The 19,031-nt window shown below is 33.4% G+C and overlaps 1 protein-coding gene across 64 annotated transcripts in view, besides 1 other annotated feature; it reads right to left on the bottom strand.

Annotated features, from left to right (window-relative positions):
• ADGRL2 (adhesion G protein-coupled receptor L2) overlaps window positions 1-19,031 on the bottom strand; it is a 687,801-nt gene that overhangs the window by 134,848 nt on the left and 533,922 nt on the right. The window lies entirely within an intron of this gene.
• Window positions 9,635-10,417: an enhancer, noted in NCBI's record as "OCT4-NANOG hESC enhancer chr1:82314353-82315135 (GRCh37/hg19 assembly coordinates)". NCBI's record gives its function as "activates a minimal SCP1, AML or CMV promoter by ChIP-STARR-seq in naive H9 embryonic stem cells {active_cell/tissue: H9 hESC(naive)}" and the evidence as "EXISTENCE:reporter gene assay evidence [ECO:0000049][PMID:30033119]".

The following is a 19,031-nucleotide window of genomic DNA, read 5'->3' as shown; positions in this document are numbered from 1 at the left end:
AATCTCTCTAGTTATCAAATAATTTGAATGTTCAAACATAATTACTTAAATAAATTCTAAACAATTAATTTCATAGAGGTATATATCAAAATTACATTTACTCAGTCAACACTGTCCAATATGTAGTAAAAATAAATAATAATAGCTGCCATACGACTATAAAATGGCATGTTAACATGCCATAACATAAAAACTCCATAGTAGACTGAAAATAAACCACAGCCAATAGGAAATAAGCACTCTAAGTTACAAATGGCGCACTTTATATTACATCCGGGAAAAAATGGTAAATATGTCTACATTTTGGTGTCTTTTATGTTTACATTTTGCAAATGATTTTTTTTCAGGACCTTTATACTTGCTATCATTTTTTAGAGTGTGCTAAATTTTCACAGTCCCTGACGGAAGTACTCAACCCCAATTCTGATACTTTAAGAAATAACACCAAGTCAAATACTGACCCTGTGCAGTCGGTGGAAGCTGAACATCTAAAGAGGTAAGGATGTGTCATGTTTAGGAAGACAGCAAAAATAGGAAAGAAATACATTCTCTTAAGTCTTGGTTCTAAACATTTTTATACCACCTTTGTTCTTGCCCTAAGAGGAATTTTACAGGAACGGTAAAATGATATTCATTGTCCTTAGTTTCAGTTCTTTGCACCACCAACTACCAAAAAAGTTGCATTTAGTAAAAACTGCAAAAACATAGCATTTGCTGAATGAAATAACAAATGACTTCATGAATAAATCAAATCAAGGAATAGTAGTACTATAGGCTCAGTTATTAATTCTGTGTCCTATGTGTTATTGGATCTGGCTTTCCTTATTTTGATGTACCTTTTACAGAATTTCAAATTTTATGTATGAAGCCTTAATCTAAACCAACACTGCTATTATCCCCAAAAGAATAATACTGAGTTTTAGTGGCCAGAACTAACTGCTTATACCTCAGAGTGTTAGAGATTATATAATATTTAACTCTTATCCTCTATGATTCCTAGTCTTATCTCCACTGGTCCAAATGTAGTCATTTTTAACTTTTCCTATTTCCCTAATCGCAACTAACCATAAATCTTAATTTCACGTTTGAGATAAAATACATTCCCATACATTTTCAAGGGCCATTCTAAAAATATCAATTTAACAAAAAGGAAAGATTTGGTTGATAGTAGTAAGGATAAAGAAGATTAATTGCTGTATAAATAAGATAAAAATTCCAAGATGATTATATTAATAATATCATTAAGGCAATGATATTCTCTCCAAAAATGCCAAAAAATGGATTTTTAAAAATGTCTTCATGTATCCAATAATTTATTTAATATTGTCTTGTATCAAGAACCGAGAAATTTAAAATAAGAAGTGTTATATTCAAATCACAATATAATCTTTCAATTGCATCTCTATAGATCAAGAACAAAATCCTTTCTATTCAGAAGCTGTCAATGGATGCTGATTTGAGAGAAGAAGCTGATATGTGAAAGTTGCCACCAAAAAGAACCGTCTGTGGGCTGATAAAGGCTTTTCTACTGAGGTGACTACGCAATGCCAAAATATCTAGTCAACGCAATTATAATAGAGAGTTAAGTAAGATGTCCGGCATCAAAGACAAAAGCATATGTTGAATGGAACATCTTCCACTTTCTCAATTGGCTGTCTGCAGTAGACCTAGCTCAAGTGTGAACAGTGCTTATACATTTATAAACCTTTAAAGTCATTTCCTTTTTACATATATATGCGTTGCTAAAATTATGCATGATTAAACCACAAATACCACAGTATATACATCTAGAAATATCCCAAATCTAAAAATAAAAATGGATTTCCATTATTATGCAAATTGAAAGCATCATGAATTCTGTGTCAGGCATACCTGGGAATGAATCAATCTCATCACTTCATTATTCATTTAACCCTGCCTAAGTCACCTAACTGTGCATAAGTTTCCTTGGCTAAAATGTAACAAAACAACATAAACCTCACAGAGCTGTTGGAAACATTATCCAGGACAATGAATAAAAAGCACCTACTACAGTGATTAATATCCAGTAAAGGACTGACAAGTGCAGTCATTGTTTTTAGATTTAAATTAAAAGTACAAAATGAGAGAGACATTAAAATCTAGTTATTTCTATGTATCTATAACAAAAGTTTCCCAAACTTTACTCATGTTTATTATTTAATGATTAAACATGTTTATTATTTAATGATCAAAGCAAGCCTCACATTAAATGCTTGTTATAAATCATGGAATATTAAGGCCCTAATTTTTTTTTTAATTCTGTAATTAAGTATGCCCTACAAATAAGCATGGCTAAGTTTTGGCATATTACTAGTATTAATTATATTGTTAATGGCAGTAACTTCATTAAACTAAGCTCACAAATTAGCCATCAAATCCATTTATCTTGTATTTCTTATCTTGGTGAATTCTTGATCCACCTTGACTCCTGACATTCATCACTCACCAGGCCTAGATATATTTAATAAATCACCATTTCTGCTGGTGCTCAGTTTATTCTAACTCAAATGATCTGCTGATAGGCACTGCTAAAGGGGCAAAGCCAGCCTGACAGTTGAGACCCTACCAGCAATCAAAAACAGCTGATCGAAAAAGACATGGTTCTTTGACTCAAGGGCAATCAGTCCATGATCCTCAGACCAATGTAGGCTGTGGCTTCATACAAAAAGAAGAAGCCCATACGTTTCTCTTGTTCTCAAGAATTTGAACTGGGAAACATGAAGCAATTCCAGAGCTAGAGAAAGAGCTGCAGCTGACAGGGTGGCACAAGACTGGGTGAAGTACCCCAGATATCCTAAAACAAAACTGCAAGGGGGAAAAAATAAAAAGAGTTGAGGGAAAGAACAGCTAGTTGCTATTAGGCAGAAGCAGGTAGATACAAAGGGAATCCATGAGCCAAACAACTAAGCAAGTAACCAGAGTCCCAGAAGCACCTGCTGCTTCAGATTATGCATCTGTGCTATATATGACCAGTTTCCACACCACCTTCCAAACTCCACAAGGACCAGCTGGGCAATATGACCTCCCCTGGATGCCTGCAAGAAAGTCCAGTTTACTTTATTCCCAAACATCAGCTTCTGTCCCTTACCACGAACAAACTATATAAATCACCCTTTCCCTCATCAGCGATCTGCCAAATTGCCTCACTTCTACTGTGAATATGACTTCGGAAATTTCATCAATTCATTCCTTTTATCTACTCTCATTCAATATTTTTTCTAGTCTCTCATTCTTTCTTGCTTGGATTACTCCAACAATCTTATTTTTTAAGAAAAAGGGCACAAATGGGCAGACCACAGGATGAATTCAGCTCACAGGTATATTTCATTTGCCCCCTCAGTGTCTGTTTGAATTAGCTGCCAACATTTCAAAATATGGGGATGTAACATTCAAATCCAATGTCCGACTTTTCTTGGGGAAAAATATCAGCTCAATTGACAACATATTCGCATTGAAAATGTATCATAACTTCCTGCTTGCAAGGAAAAAATATTAAAAAGTAAAAAAAAGAAAAAGAAAAAGAAGAGGAAGAAAAAGTATCAAAATACTGATAAAATAATCACCTGAAGCTGAATAGCACCTGCCGACTTGATTTTGTTTAGTTTTGTTTTTTTGGTTTTTTTGAGACAGGGCCTCGCTCTGTGGCCCAGGCTGAAGTGCAATGGCACTATCATGGCTCACTGCAACCTTGAACTACTAGGCTCAAGTGATCCTCCCACCTTAGCCTCCTAAGTAGCTGGGACCATGGGTGCATGTCACTATGCCTGGCTAATTTTTTAAATTTTCTGTAGACACAAGGTCTTATCTATGTTACCCAGGCTGATCTTTAACTCCTGGCCTCAAGTGATCCTCCCACCTCAGTCTCCCAAAGTGCTGGGATTACAGGCACGAGCCACTGTGCCTGGCTTCTGCCTACTTTAGACAAGCATGCACTTTCCAGTTTTGTATCATTTCTTTATATCCTGTCTACTTCACTTGTTTATGTTAATTCCCTGGTCCCACAGGAACTTGTTCAATATTCTCAACGCTTTCAATAGTCAACCCCATCCAGCCTAAAGAAATACTTCCAGAATAAAAATATATAATCACCTTTGAAATTTTTCAATGATTATCTCTCACCTACATGATCAAATTCTAACTCTTCCACATGAGTCATCTGGCTCCAACTTCATCCAGAGCTATCTTTTGTCACCCCTCACCTTCGGCACACATTGACCTATTTGCAATTCACCCCATTTCTTAGTGGCAATATTTTTGCACACTCTCCTGGAGCTCAGAAGAACTTTTCTCAGCTGGTCACCTCTTGCTCATTCAGATATCTCTGCTGTTTGAGTTTCAGCTGAGTATGCCACCTATGCAGCTCTCTCTGGATTCCCCTTTAGGTGTCATAAGGTACCACCATTATTGTTAAGTTCCTTTAAGATAATACCCATACCTAGCACACTGCATAGTCTGAGCACATGGCAAATGTTCAACAATCACTGATTAATAAATGTTTAAACATTTCATTTCTAAGCATCAACAGTTCTAAAATAGAGGCATTTTCCCAATTTTATAATAAGCAAGAAAACCCAAGTTAAATAACTTGTACAGGTTCACATAGCTGATGAGAGTCAGAATTTGAACCACTGGACGTTACACCAAAAGTTGCTGCCTTTGAGTATATTATACTTTCTGTCTTTCCCATGAAATACTCGTACAAATGTAATTTCACTACAGGGTATGTCAGTGAAAGAAAACAGAGACCAAGTCAATACAAATGACTACACTGCCTAATCCTAAATCAAAGCTGACAGGATAAATCCAGTGGTTCGGCAGTATCCCTGTAATGTGAATGGCTGTAGAAATGCCATGACAACTTTCAGAGTCCAAGGAAAACTATAAAACATTTTCATAAAATCTTCATTTTGAGCACTTGGCATTTATCTTGCCATAATGCAAAGATGATTAGAAAACAGAAACAGAAAATGCAACCTACATTGGAAAATTTATTAAGAAAATTCACTGCCCATAGAATAGGCAAAAGGCAGGCCATAAACTCTTTTAAAAATATATTTATGACAAAAAAAGAAAACATGATTAACAGAATTAAAGGATAATTCTGTGATCCAACTTATTAAATTTCAAGAAAGGTAACAGTTATAAATGCTTCAATTTGAGCATACTGCTCAAATACTGCTTTAATTTGAGCAGTATTTAGTAACATCTTGTGATACAAATTTATAAAGCATAAAATTCTCAATTTTGTTCTCAAACATCATAGTATATTATGAAACAATTTCTTAGAAAAAAATGACAGAAAAATAAAAACCTTAACCTTATATCATGTTATAGTAAATCTTTCCAGTAAGACCACAAAGCTCGAAGAAACAAAAAAATCATCTTTAATATTTCTTTATTAATACTTTATTTGCTTTCATTTTTTACAGTCTTTGAAAATTTCACTGCTTATTCACATAGGTTGCAAATCATAAAGTTTTTAAAGAGATTCAAAGATAAAACCTAATAAAATGTTCCAGTTTTCTTAAAAACACCAACCTCCACTTTTTTGCCGTCACCAGGATCTCTGGGCCAACAAACTACTGACAAGCAGCATTCTCAGGACATTAGGGGGTAAAACCCTTGAAAGCAATCATCTTTTTCACACAGATGGATATAGGTGTTTTCAGTGTTCTGTATGGCATCCTCTTGCCACATAAGCACCTGCAGTCGTACATTGTCCTGCTAGGTATTCCTAAAAACACCCAGGCAAGCTGTTTACTAAAAAAACTAGATTGGAAGAGGTGAAGGATAATTAGCAAATAAAACTATTCCTGGCACTCTCTCGATTAGTGGAGAACCAAGTTCCAACCCAGCACCTGGTGAAGGGAACTGCTAGATGTGATAATTCCAATTTACACATTCAGCACAACATTCTGTCTGCCTGTCAATTTGAAACAGTTTCCTATTCAGTGATAACAGATACCCCAAAAGAATGCAGTGTCAAAATGCTGACATATATTTTTTATGCACCAACTAGAGCCTCTCCTCTGGACCAGCTGCCTCTGCCTCTTCGCTCTTGGAATGACCTGACAGTTCAGTTCGTTTTTCTACTATACCAAAAAAATGTTGATTTTTACAGGTTAAATTTAAAGTATCAGATCTTCATACAGATTAAATACCAATAAGATTTTTCTTAAGCACAGTTAAAAAATAATTTAATAAAGCTAAAAAGTTCATTATGTTGGTATATCTTTATTTACATAGTACAGTACTTCTCAGCTGTCAAAACCATGAAAGTATGTATTTCTAATAAACACAGAATTTACTAATTTTTTTTCTAAGTTGACAGAGAGGATGAGAACAGAAATAAGCCAGCGAGACACACAGCTAGAGGCAGCATGGCACATCAGATATACACTTGCAAATGCTAAATAAAAAGGAAAATAAATTTTTACTCAAATCCATGGAGGTTCATTTCCTCCAAGTGTTTTCACATTTTCATTTCATAATGATCATACTTTGAAGAAGTATTATAAAAGGACAATTAAGTCAATGTTGTATCGGGGAGAATTTTCTTATTCTCTTCATTATTAAATGACAAACATAGCAACTATGCTTACAGAATACAGCTTTTTAAAAATTTTTTTCCCACATACATCTCAGATTAGATTCATAAGTATCTCTTCCGAAAAGAAGCTATATCTTTCCATCTTTCTCTTACCAGGCGGTTACCTGGAAGGTTTTTCATCTGTTCTAACACTCCTCTTCTATTTGACTTATCAAACAGCAATACATTCTTTTCAGCTACTTTCACTGGTACCAAACTTTCATTTTTAAAGTGGACTGACTTTCTAAAACAAATGTAAACCATGCAGGAATAAAGTCTGACAAAATAATGCTTTCATTTGAGAGATATCACTATTGTTTTAAAACGAGGTGGTAATGAACCATTAGATGTTAGGATTAGAAACTAGCACTTCTGAAACCTCAAATCCATGCTGAATATGTCAATGAAAAATTCTTACGTTTACTGAGCAAACATTTTAGTTACCAAGTACTTGAAGCTAGAATAGTTCATCATTGTACAGAATATAATAATTTTTTAATTCGCCATTCTAAGTCAGATGCTTTCCTCTTCAAAATTAATATATAAAAAAAATCCTATAGTTGTACTCTGCATTTACCTCAATTTCTACTAAACATAGAATTTACTACTTCTTTTTCTAAATTAGACCCAGAGACAGAATGGTAAATCAGAAATTCATTTGCAAACGTACGTGGAAAATAAGAAATTCTGACAGCCAGAATACATACACATACACACACACACACACACACACACACACAAATTTAAGTGGCATTTTATGACAATTTCCCCAAAAAAGCTACGAATTTTTATAAATTACAAGCTATAAACATTTTAATATTAACAGTAAAGTAATTAAGAAAAAGAGCCAAAAGTCATTAAGAACCAAAAAAGTAATATATTTTCAGGTGTGATGTATAAATCTATATAAAATATCATTATAATAAAATACATCATTACCCATTATGAAGATAAAATGTCCTCCTTATATTTAAGCTAAAATCACAGAGGATTTTCTAGTTACTAAAGAATTCACAAGACAAGATCACAAGAATTTTCGAAATGACTAGAGATATTCATTACTCATCATTTTTAACTGATACCTTCATAATTACTTATACTCTAAAACATATTCTCAAACCATAAAAAGCAAATGGCAATATTAGCTGGGTTCATCAATGGATTTTAAGAAGGAAGTTCCATATTTAGGGAAGAGAAGCCAACGTTAGCTGACTTCAGTGTAGGTTATTACCATCCAAATAATTTAAACAACTATCAAAATCTCCTAATAAGAATTGAGGCTGCAGTAAATAACTAGGGCTTGCTATAATTATTAAAATATGCTTAAAGTATACTTAGCTGTTAATCCTAAGGGCTGAATTCCTGCAAGATATACACTATGCATGCATGGACACTCCTTTGTTTTCGATATTCATAAACTAACCATATTGGTTTTTGGGTGATCATTAGTGAAATCCCTGCCCTATAAATTAAGTATATATTTAAAATGTAGCTTTGGTACTAAGTCTCTTTGAATGTGCTTCTCAATCATTTAAAATAGTTTTGAATGCCTAAGCACTATGAAAAATACAGAAATAAATAAAACATTGTGCTTAACTTCAATGAATTAGCTGAAACATATAAAGGAGGTGTAAAGAGGTAACAACAGCAACAACAACAAAGCCTTACAGGAAAGAAGTACCTATAAAATTGCTCTGACCAATAAAAATGTATTTTCTCAGTCACATTAGTCACATTTCCAGTGTTCAATAACTACTTGTGGCTTACTGTATTGTACTGTGTTGCTATATAAATTCAGAGGATTCCTGTTTAGATTAGAAAAAGCCTCCTAAAGGTTACTAGCTTTCAAAAAGTATACTAAAGAACAAAAAGGAACTGAATAGGTCAAAGAATGAATTTATTGACATTGTTTTCAAGAAGCAGTTATATAGCTTCATTTGTGCTATGGGAGGAAAACCTCACTTTGAAGTCAAAAAGGTGAGGTCTGTGAACTTCACACCATGCCTTTTAGATTTTGTTTCACTTAGTGAAAAACAGGTCATAGAATTGACTAGCTTAAAGGAAATAATGAAAATATCAAGTGTGAAAAGACAATGACTCACATGTTGTAGATATTCAAAAACTGAAAGAAGGGGTAAAAGAGGAGGAGGGGGAGAAAGAAGACAACGAAGAGAACTTAAAGCAGTGCTAAGACAAGACATAGAACAGAGTTGCTGCCTCTTAACTTCACTCACTACAATAGACTGATATTAGACAGCTGTAAGACTCCAGTGAAATGCTATGGTTAAGCCTCAAAATGATCTATGGATGCTGGCTAATGCTTTTTTTAATATTGTGCTCCAGCACCAGTAATTAAGTTTAAAGTAGCTTTCATTCTGGTAAAGGTGTTTAAAATTAATGTGGCTGTTTGTAGTGGGGAGGAGTATTTCGGCAGGACGAGTCAAACAGTCTGTCCACTGACTATAGCACAATGTCAACCATGTTGTGTCCCTTCTTGGTATATAGCATTTCAAATCCATAAATGAGCCTCTGATCTGTGTTCAACTGAAATGTATTCCAAAATACAGAATTAAATAGGTACTAGTCATTCACGTTATTTGTATGTATTTATCTTCTAAATCTATGCATTTAAAGCTGTCAAACTGTGTATCGAAGATTATAAAGCAAATAAACATTACTTAGGAAGGTGTCCATCCACTGTGACAAATTTGTCCTCACCTTTAAAGTCTTACTCCTTTACCAAAACATGCAATCTTAAGGCATTTTTATATACTTATCAGTATTACAGGAAAGTCAATCGTCCTAAAAGACCAAAATAGTATTTAAAATCAAACTTAGATTAATCTTTTTTGGACAAAATTACTAGAACCATTTGTTTGGACCTTGCCAGAAGGGTTTCAATTTTACATCATTACGTTTTAACTTGTCTAATCAGTTGAACAAAAGTACTTTATGTAAAATGATTCTTTTAGTTGCCTTAGCTACAAATCCCTGCAGGATACTATAATTGAAATCTACTCACGTAAGTTAGGAATAATTAGGGCCCCAAATTAAGCCAAACACAAAGTTAATTCAAATAGTCAGCTGCTGTCATTTAAATGGTTACGGGGTTTTATTGTTGCTTAACATTTCTGAATGCTTTTAAATATGCTTTGTTCTTCTAGGCTGTATTTAGTATTTCAGTGCAAATAGAAATGGGATTAAGAAGCAAAGATTCACCAGCCTTTCAAATGGACTCACACCTATATCCAGTCTTTTGTCACTGAAGGTTTTCCACTCAATCAGTGCTATCAGTCAATTAACAACATTGTTGAAAGAATGGAGTGACAGCTCTCAAAGGCAAGCTTTCTGGTAAATAAAGCAAGATCACACAATCTACAGTGAGTGCCATTAATGCAACAAAAGTAAGAGCTTTTGAAAGCTAACAGGGATGGTTGCTATTTGCTTACCTCTAAAACAAAGCAAAGGATTAAACGAGCTTCCTGTTGTAAGCAAACAAAAGGGAAAAGATAATGTCCAAAACACATACCTGAAGGAGGGGCTCAGGAGGAGCATGCCTTTTAACTGTTTTAATGATGACTGATAATCTGTGTGGACTGATAACTAAACATAGTAAGAGTTACAATTCTTGTTATAATTGTTACAGGTTTTCGGTGTTCTGACAGTTAATGGTTCTCAGCAATAGCTGGTAACTTCAAAGATAAATTGTGCTTTTTAAAAAATATATGCTTATGGCTGTAAACTTTGGAAGATTATTTGAAAGTTGAAGTGTTAGCATGATTGGTCCTCCTGTACTCTACATAATTTTCACTAAAAAACAAATCTTAACATAGTTTTTCATCTAAAATGGTAATAAACATTAAGAAAACTGACATAATTAGCTCGTTTGATAATTACCATTAAGTAATGCAATGTTAAGCAATATAAAGTATACTTTAAATATTCTTGAGTAACAGCCTGCTGAGATAGGAAAATATACTAATGATCTGAAGCTAAATATAAAGTTCTACAGCAAGAAAACTGGACTGGCAGTTAAGTAGAGCTTGACAAAGGAACAATCTGCAGGCCTTAGTTTCTTCATCTGTAAAATGAAAAATTCTACACTACTAATATCCAAGCTGTGATTCAAAGTCCAAAATTCTTTAATTCCACCAAAAAAATCAAAATAAAAATACTTCGACCTCTCAGGTACCTATATAGGAGTCTCTATTTTTAAAATTTGCTACTAACTTACTTTTGAGTGGTTTAAGAGCCTGAAGAGTCTAATAAAATTCATTAAGAAATAAATTTACTTTATAATTGGTATTATCGTAAAATTAAAACAAATCATATCAGTACCCTATATCTTTGCCTCTGAAAGAAAAGGGAAAAGGAGATTGTGTCCACTAAGAAGAAGAAAATCTTTGATTCTATACAATACTAAAAAGTGGAAAAATCACTAGATAACCTAAGGCAGATAAAACATATTTAGCCATTTTTAATGACCAGTTAACAATCAAGTACTTCCATCCTATACTCTTATGGTGCTGATAAGCCAAGGAATTAATACTTAGGCAAAAACAACAATTATTAGTTGATTAAATATGTTGACTTTGAAAAATTAGTATAATAAAAATAAACTTTTTCTAAATAAGACAAACATACACTTTGCATTACATGACTTTATAGTGTTACTTTAAATAATAAAACATTTGTATTAAAATGCTGTTAAAAACACTGTTTCTGTGTATGATAGAATGAAAGTATGACAGATCAATAGGGAATAGAGGGAAATATTAGGGAGAAAGGGTCAGGCTGCATTGTTACTCAGGGATTTTTCAAAGCAACTCACCACATAAAAGGTCAATAGAAGGCATATAAAATAGGATTAGAAGTGCCACAAAATATAAAAATGTTCAGTAAAGTTTCAAGGTAGCTTAGTTCCTTTTTTAATAAAATGAGTTATACAACTGAAAGTGATGTTATTTCTATATTTCAACTATGGTTGTTTGGGTTTAAAACAAACCTCGATTTTTAACAGCGGAAGTCACTGTCATGTAAACTCTCATTTTCTAGACCAAACATTTTAATAACCAAAACTCCCTAATACAGACATTATCTTACAGACCAGCAACCTTAGCATCACCTGGGAGCTTATTAGAAATGCAGACTCAGAAGGTCCATCCCAGATTACTGAAGCAAGAATCTACATTTTAACAAGATCCCTGAGTGATTTATATGCACATTAACTTTTGAGGGGCACTATTCTAGATAAATAAGATGTTTAAAGCCCAGCATGACCTCCATCATCTTTCTTCTGCGGCTGTACACATCTCTTCCTGAATCTTTCCTCTCTCTGGATCCTAATACACATTCTTTACTTCCCTGAATGAGCCTTCCTACCAGTGCAATGGGTTCCATTTCCCTTCCTTCCAACTGGAGAAATGTTCAGGTATTCAACATATCTACCAAAAGCAACCAAACAAGAAAACTGTAAAAAAAAAAAAACAACAAAACACTTTCCTTAAACAAGGAAATAAACTCAACCTACAGCACCTGTCTCCTTCACTTTACTTACCAACTTTTTAAAAAGCCTGTCAACATCGCCTCATCACAGCATTCTACCATATAAAAGTAGCCTCTTAAAATCCAACAGGCTTTCTATTGTAATGTGTAACTAAAATAAGGAAGTCTCTGACTTGTATTAACCTACTATATTGTCTCTAACCAAAGCTTGAACTTCATATAGGCATATCTAACACCTGGCTTAGATTTTAGTACTACAAAGAGAAAAAGAAGAATCAGTAAGGGAAAAGAGAACTAATTAATGATTAATACATACACACAAACACACAACAATTAGATACAAAGAGATGGGTACAGGAATAGTAAGACGCACCCTGTAAATATGCAACAAAATAAGAATTTTACTTGGATCCTTTTTTTAGATTAAATCCCTGTGCAAAACTTAACCAGGCTTCATACGAATCCCTTCTTTTTTTTCCAGGAAATTCTTTATGTTTCTTGAAACTCCAAAATTCCTAAAATGTAGAACTTCATCTTCATGGTGGGACATTTTAATCTATCTCTACAGTCATGCTTTTGCTTCTCTCGGCTGTTTAACAACATAAAAACTCTTAAAAATAAACTTTATTAAATACATGGGATACAAAAATCATTTAAGGAGAGAAGAACACTGATATATTACTGGATTCAGAACAGTCACACTTTCATTCACAATTCAATCTATGTAGATATAAACAGTGTTTACTTCTATTCTTTTTCTTTTTTGTTTTTTCAACTATCATCCATCATCCATTTTTAATTTGGCTATGTTCCAAACTTCAACTACTGTGTTGGTTAAAATTTAATTCTTACTGGTTGGTTTAATGTTAGTTCACTTGATTTTAAATTAAGTGATCAAAGACCTTAGATTTCCCCTTATAAAAACGTTAATTCCTGACGGATTCAAAATTTAAATAAAAATATTTAAGAGCTACAGGGAAATGTAATGAATAAATATTTAACTGAGATCAAGATATACATTTTTAAGCATAAAATAATGGAAGGTCTCACAAAAGAAAATAGCTATATAACAAAAAGGAAAGAAGAAGAAAGAGTGCAATAATGCAAATGTAACAATATCTTGACAATTGTTAAACCTGCGATTAGTGTTATACTACGAATTTCTCTCTTCTATTTGAAGTTTTCATTAAAAATTTTAAACAGTGTAAATTAAACTAAAAGGCAAAAATAGGTTTTTATAATAAAAATGAAAAAAGGGGATTATCAATAAATTGTAAAAAAAAAAATAAGAAAAGTATTAGCAATACAAACAGAAAAGCTGGCAAAAGCAGTGTACAAAAAGTTCATATCAAAATGACAACTAACCAATAAATAAATCTACAAAAAATGTTTTTGTCCCCAGAAGTATCCCCCAAATTACAAATTTAATTTATAATCAGATACCCTTTTTTACAAATCAAAGTGTTAAATCTTTTTAAAATTTCAGATCATTGCTGGTAAAGTGCATGGATTTATATACTGGTCATCAATGTGTGCACATAGGTTTAACTCTTCAAAAAAGCCAATTTGAAAGATGTCTATATCTCCAGTACAATTATCAGAATTATAGAATTCTATCCTCGGGAAATAACCAGTTGTGAAGGAAAAATAATTATATAGATATGTATTTTACTTATACTTGAAAGAAATTAAGTACAAATGGCTGGCAAGTAGAAAAGGAGGATTAAATAATTTGTATTAAATTTGTATAATTAAATAAATTACTATGCATCTGTTAGCATTCATTATCTAAATATGTAATGGCATAGTAATACTGTTTCTGATAATTAAAAGTGAAAATATGAATATAAGAGTATATGTAGATGAATAACCTAATTTTGTATTTATACATAATTTGGCTTTATCCATATGAAGTATGTGTATAGGTGGAAAAACAGAAAAGAAATGTGCTGCCGCATAAGAAAGTCACAGAATTATGAACCTTCTAAAAGTTTTATCTTAATTTTTTTAATTTTCTCTTTTCTCATGAAGATATATACATTCAAAATCAGAAGAAAAAAAACACTTTTAAGAAAAATAAGCCCTCAAAGCAAGAATTATGGCAGACATAAAAGTCAAACTCAGGAGAGTCCCATGCTGATAAGAAGAGATTATAAATGTTGTTTCTGCTTCCTGAAGTGCTGATACGTATTCCCTTCTCAGCTTTACATTTTAGCCAGGAGATCCCGAGGCTGGGACTAGGTATTCTCCTGGAATCACTTCTGTCAAGTTGACAAAAGGAGTTCAGGAATAGGGTTGAAAGATGCCATGAGATACTCACTAATCCAAATTGATGTCTAATATGTGTAGCTTGCATGGCTGTCATATGTCATTCTTTGTCTTGCAGAGGAGGGGAAAAGAAAATAGAGTACCATGGGGTATCAAGTTTTAGTAAGACACTCCCTTAGTAATATGGCAGATAAATCAGTTTTTTGAGACACAGCATGTTCTACAATAGTCTTCTGATGTGGTCTTCAGATGTGTTCAATCACTTATCTTATTCTCTAATATCACAAGCTATCGTATATTAAAAAATTAAAGTGTATTAATTCAAAAAATGAAGAGCTTCAATGCTGAAATTAATGAGTAATGAGAAATTAACAGAATCACAGTTCCACAAAATTAAGGTGCTTTAAATGCCTCCTGTGCTTTTAATTAAACTCCCTGTAATACACTATTGGTTCTTTCAAACTATAAAAATAACTGTGTAAATGCCTAATATGCATGTAAAATCGGTATTTCTAAAATTTACTCTAGTATGCATGAGCTAATAACCTTTTTACTTTTAGCAAATTATTATTTAAAAACAAATTTATTTACTAAATATTTGATATGGTCTTTTCTGTCAGAAAATGGAGGTTTACCGAAATTAAACAGCCACGCAATATAATGTTTTTGAGGTCTGCTGGGTGACTGTTGTGAATGACATACACGTTTGCAATACTTTTTCCGCCAACAACAGACCTACTGGTGAATCAACGAAGACTGTGGATAAACAAAGTTTTTCCACAAATGAAAAAGAGGCAAAAGAGGATGGAATCAAGAAGAAAGCATGAGGAAAAGTGGGAAGAAAAAAAAATCGACAATCAAGCACTTGAACTTTATCTTCATTTATGAAACATGGCATATTCTGACACTAAATATTGGTATATAAGATGACCAAAGTATAATTCAAATTTACTTTTGAAAAGATGCCAGTGTATCCGATTAAGCTTAATTTTATTTTCGGCAACTTTGAGTCACATTTGTAACATATTTACCTTCATCTTGAATGCTGATAGTAATATTATAATAATTTGATTTTTGCAAGAGAAGATAACAACATCATACAATTTGTAAAGGCATTAAGATTTATATTTTTAAAACCGAATTATCGCTACCTATGGAGAAGAAAGCTGCTGCAATCAAATTACAATATTCTCATGAAACAAAATAAAGAATATCTAAAGTGTCCTAAGAGCAATACAGTTAAGTATTTTCTTAAATAAAATCATTTTTTTGGCCGGGCACAGTGGTTCATGCCTGTAATCCCAGCACTTTGGGAGGCCAAGGCAAGTAGATCACAAGGTCAGGAGTTTGAGACCAGCCTGACCAATATGGTGAAACCCCGTGTCTACTAAAAATACAAAAATTAGCCAGGCGTGGTGGTGGGTGCCTGTAGTCCCAGTTACTTGGGAGGCTGAGGCAGGAGAATTGTTTGAACCCAGGAGGCCGAGGTTGCAGTGAGCTGAGACCACACCACTGCACTCCAGCCTGAGCAACACAGCAAGACACCATCTCAAAAAATAATAATAGTAATTTTTAAAAAATTCATTGCTTTAGCTGGGTGTTAATTTACATAATTTGTGAATTTAGAAAATAAAGTTACATTTGCTATGCAGCAGGCACAAATACACAATTCCTATTAATTTAATGGGAGTTGTGACTCCCATTAGGTTTACAGCCAAATCCCCAAGTACCTTGCTAAAAATTTACCTCCTAGACTTCAACTAATCAAATATACTGAAATGAACAAAAGTAGTTAATTTTGTTAGATTGGGAAATCTGAAATCCCCACAGTAAGTCAATTCAGTGTTATCACAGCATTGGCCATGTAGTTATTCTCAACAAGAAAAGAACCAGGGTATTAGAGTGAAAGAGACAAATTGAAACAAGAGTTTTAAGAGCTCTACTAAACAGAGCATTTATCCCTAAGAGGAAAAATACGTTTTTTTCCAATTTGGTGTAAATTTTTCAAAATTTTTTTCTGAGTATACTCTTGAAAAGAGCAAAAAAGGCTGGGTGTGGTGTCTCATGCATATAATCCCAGTCCTTTGGGAGGCCAAGGTGGGTGGATCACAAGGTCAAGAGTCAGAGACCAGCCTGGCCAATATGGTGAAACCCCGTCTCTACTAAAAATAAAAAAGTTAGACAGGCATGGTGGCAGGTGCCTGTAATCCCAGCTACTTGGGAGGCTGAGGCAGGAGAATCCCTTGAACCCGGGAGGTGGAGGTTTCAGTGAGCGGAGATCATCCCATTGTATTCCGGCCTGGGAGACAGAGTGAGACTCCATCTTAAAAAAAAAAAAAAAAAAAAAAGCGCTAAAAGAAAAAAAAAATCCTTTTCTGAAGACTAAAATTATTCCCAAGAAGCCTAATCAGGGGAATAAAGAACAATCTGCAAAGAAACAGATACTAACTCCCAAGAAACAACTGGATACTAACTTCTGAATCATGATCAATCATCTCATCATTTTTTCCAAAAATACTTTTGAAAAAGTTGTACCATGTCTACACCCATGCACCCCTACCCTCACCACAACCACCCCTAAGCACATAGAATACGCAGTGGCTCTTATAGTGTGATGCTGAGCAACACCATCAGCATCACCCTGCAATTTGTCAGCAATGTTAACTAATGCTTGGGCCCCACCGCAGATCTTCCAGGTGATTCTGCCGTATCATCACTTCCAACTACAAGAATTTCCTAACACACATGCAACCATCCAACTATCGCTCATCCCAATGCCTCTGTGAATATCATTATTATGGCACTTATCACACTCTTATTACAACTGCTCATTGTCTTTTCCCTCATTATACAGACTATGAACCTCTTCAAAGATTTATTCTATTTATGTGACAGCTATGGATTGAGTGCTTAGTATAAGCCAGGCATTGTTCAGGCACTTGAAGACATCAGTGAACAACAACAAAACATCCCTGCCCTTATGAAACTAGCATACTGCATGTTGTGTGTGTGTGCACGTGTATGCGCGTGCACATATATACACAAATATGTGTATATATGTACAGATTTTGTTATATGCGTGTGTAAATCAAAGAATGAAAGAAAAAAGGAGGAATGAACACAGTAGTCTGAATTACATTAATCTTTCTTAAATTTAACCTTGGAGAATAAAGTTACTAATCATTCCACCAAATTCAGACCATTCTGAAGGAAATATCTATATGCCAGAAACAGTTTTCACTATTTCATATTTAACCCCTAAATCTGCCTTTTTTTCTTCTACCCAAATACTGAAAAGACCCTACAGACACACACTTTTTAGAGAGAGAACATTAACTCAAGTCATTATAAAATGTACTTAGGGAACTTAAAAGTACAGTAAAAACTGGCAAGAAACTATTTCTACAACTGTTATATTTTCTTGATTTATATAAAATAAATACATAAAGCTGTTTCTGGCATGTCTCATATTTATACCTGGCAGAACATTTTTCTTTGAAATAAGGATAAGCAACAATATAATTTGAGGTAATTAAGTAAAATTTTGACTAATAAAATCTAATTACATATTCACTGCATAAAGGATTCAACCTGAAATCTGCATTACTGAATTTGCTGAAGAAGTACTATTATTTGTAACTTGTCACTTGAGCAAGCCTTCATGTGTCTAACTTATGCTTGCCAAGGCTCCATTATACAGCATAATTTAATTCTCTAGGACACAAAAATTCAATTTACTTTCTACTTACTGATACATGATTCCACAGTGGGTACTATGCTTATAAAAACTGGCCAAAAGAATCAAAGCATACCAGTCTCTCGATAAAACTGACTTTTCAAGAATCTGAGATTAGTTCTCTAGAAATAAAATCAATTATAAGAAATATTTACAAAATATTTTGCAAGTTTGGTCTGTATAAAATCATTTTTATTTGGAAATTCTAAATATAATTTTCCCCAAAATACGTTGTAGGAAAGGCTTAGAGAATATGTAAAATATTAATCCTATTTTACAGAAACAGGTAAACTTTAATGGGTAAGACTTGATTCTTACACAAACAGGTAAATTTTAATGGGTAAGACTTGATTCAAAATAGAGATAGATAGATATAACAATTAAACCTTTGTATAATTAGCTTTTGCCATGTTCAAACTTTAAAAATGCTTAGTGATTTGCCCCTGTATGTGTACACAAAATATGACATTTATAATGTTTGCCTGAACACAGAGTAAGTCCTTATGAATTTGGAAATGTATGTCTCATTATGTACCGATGTAAAGCAAATCCAAAATTATGTGAAGCCTTTAAAATCATGTACCAAGGTAAAATACAACTGTAACAGGAGGAAAAAAAAAGATCTAAAAGGAAAGGCATAACCCATGGCTATTCTATGGTATACACGCTTGTTTTTTAAACAAAATCTTAATTAGTTGCCATTACTTAAAAATCCTAATGTTTGATTTCTACTGAAAGTCAGAAGACTGGAAAAACCAAGCTAAATACTGGAATGGTAATCACAGGTCCTCTGACAAGCACTTTCTTGTCTGACCTCAAGTCGAATGTTCTCAAGGCACCAACAAGTATTTAAGGTTTCAATCCCTGCACAAGACCATGAGCTTCTCAAGAGTAAGAATCATGCCTTCATGC

This window comes from Homo sapiens, chromosome 1 (genome assembly GCF_000001405.40).
Source record: "Homo sapiens chromosome 1, GRCh38.p14 Primary Assembly".
Taxonomy (NCBI): Eukaryota; Metazoa; Chordata; class Mammalia; order Primates; family Hominidae; genus Homo; species Homo sapiens.
The sequence above is the reverse complement of the archived record's forward strand: the minus strand, read 5'-3'. Positions and strand labels throughout refer to the sequence as shown.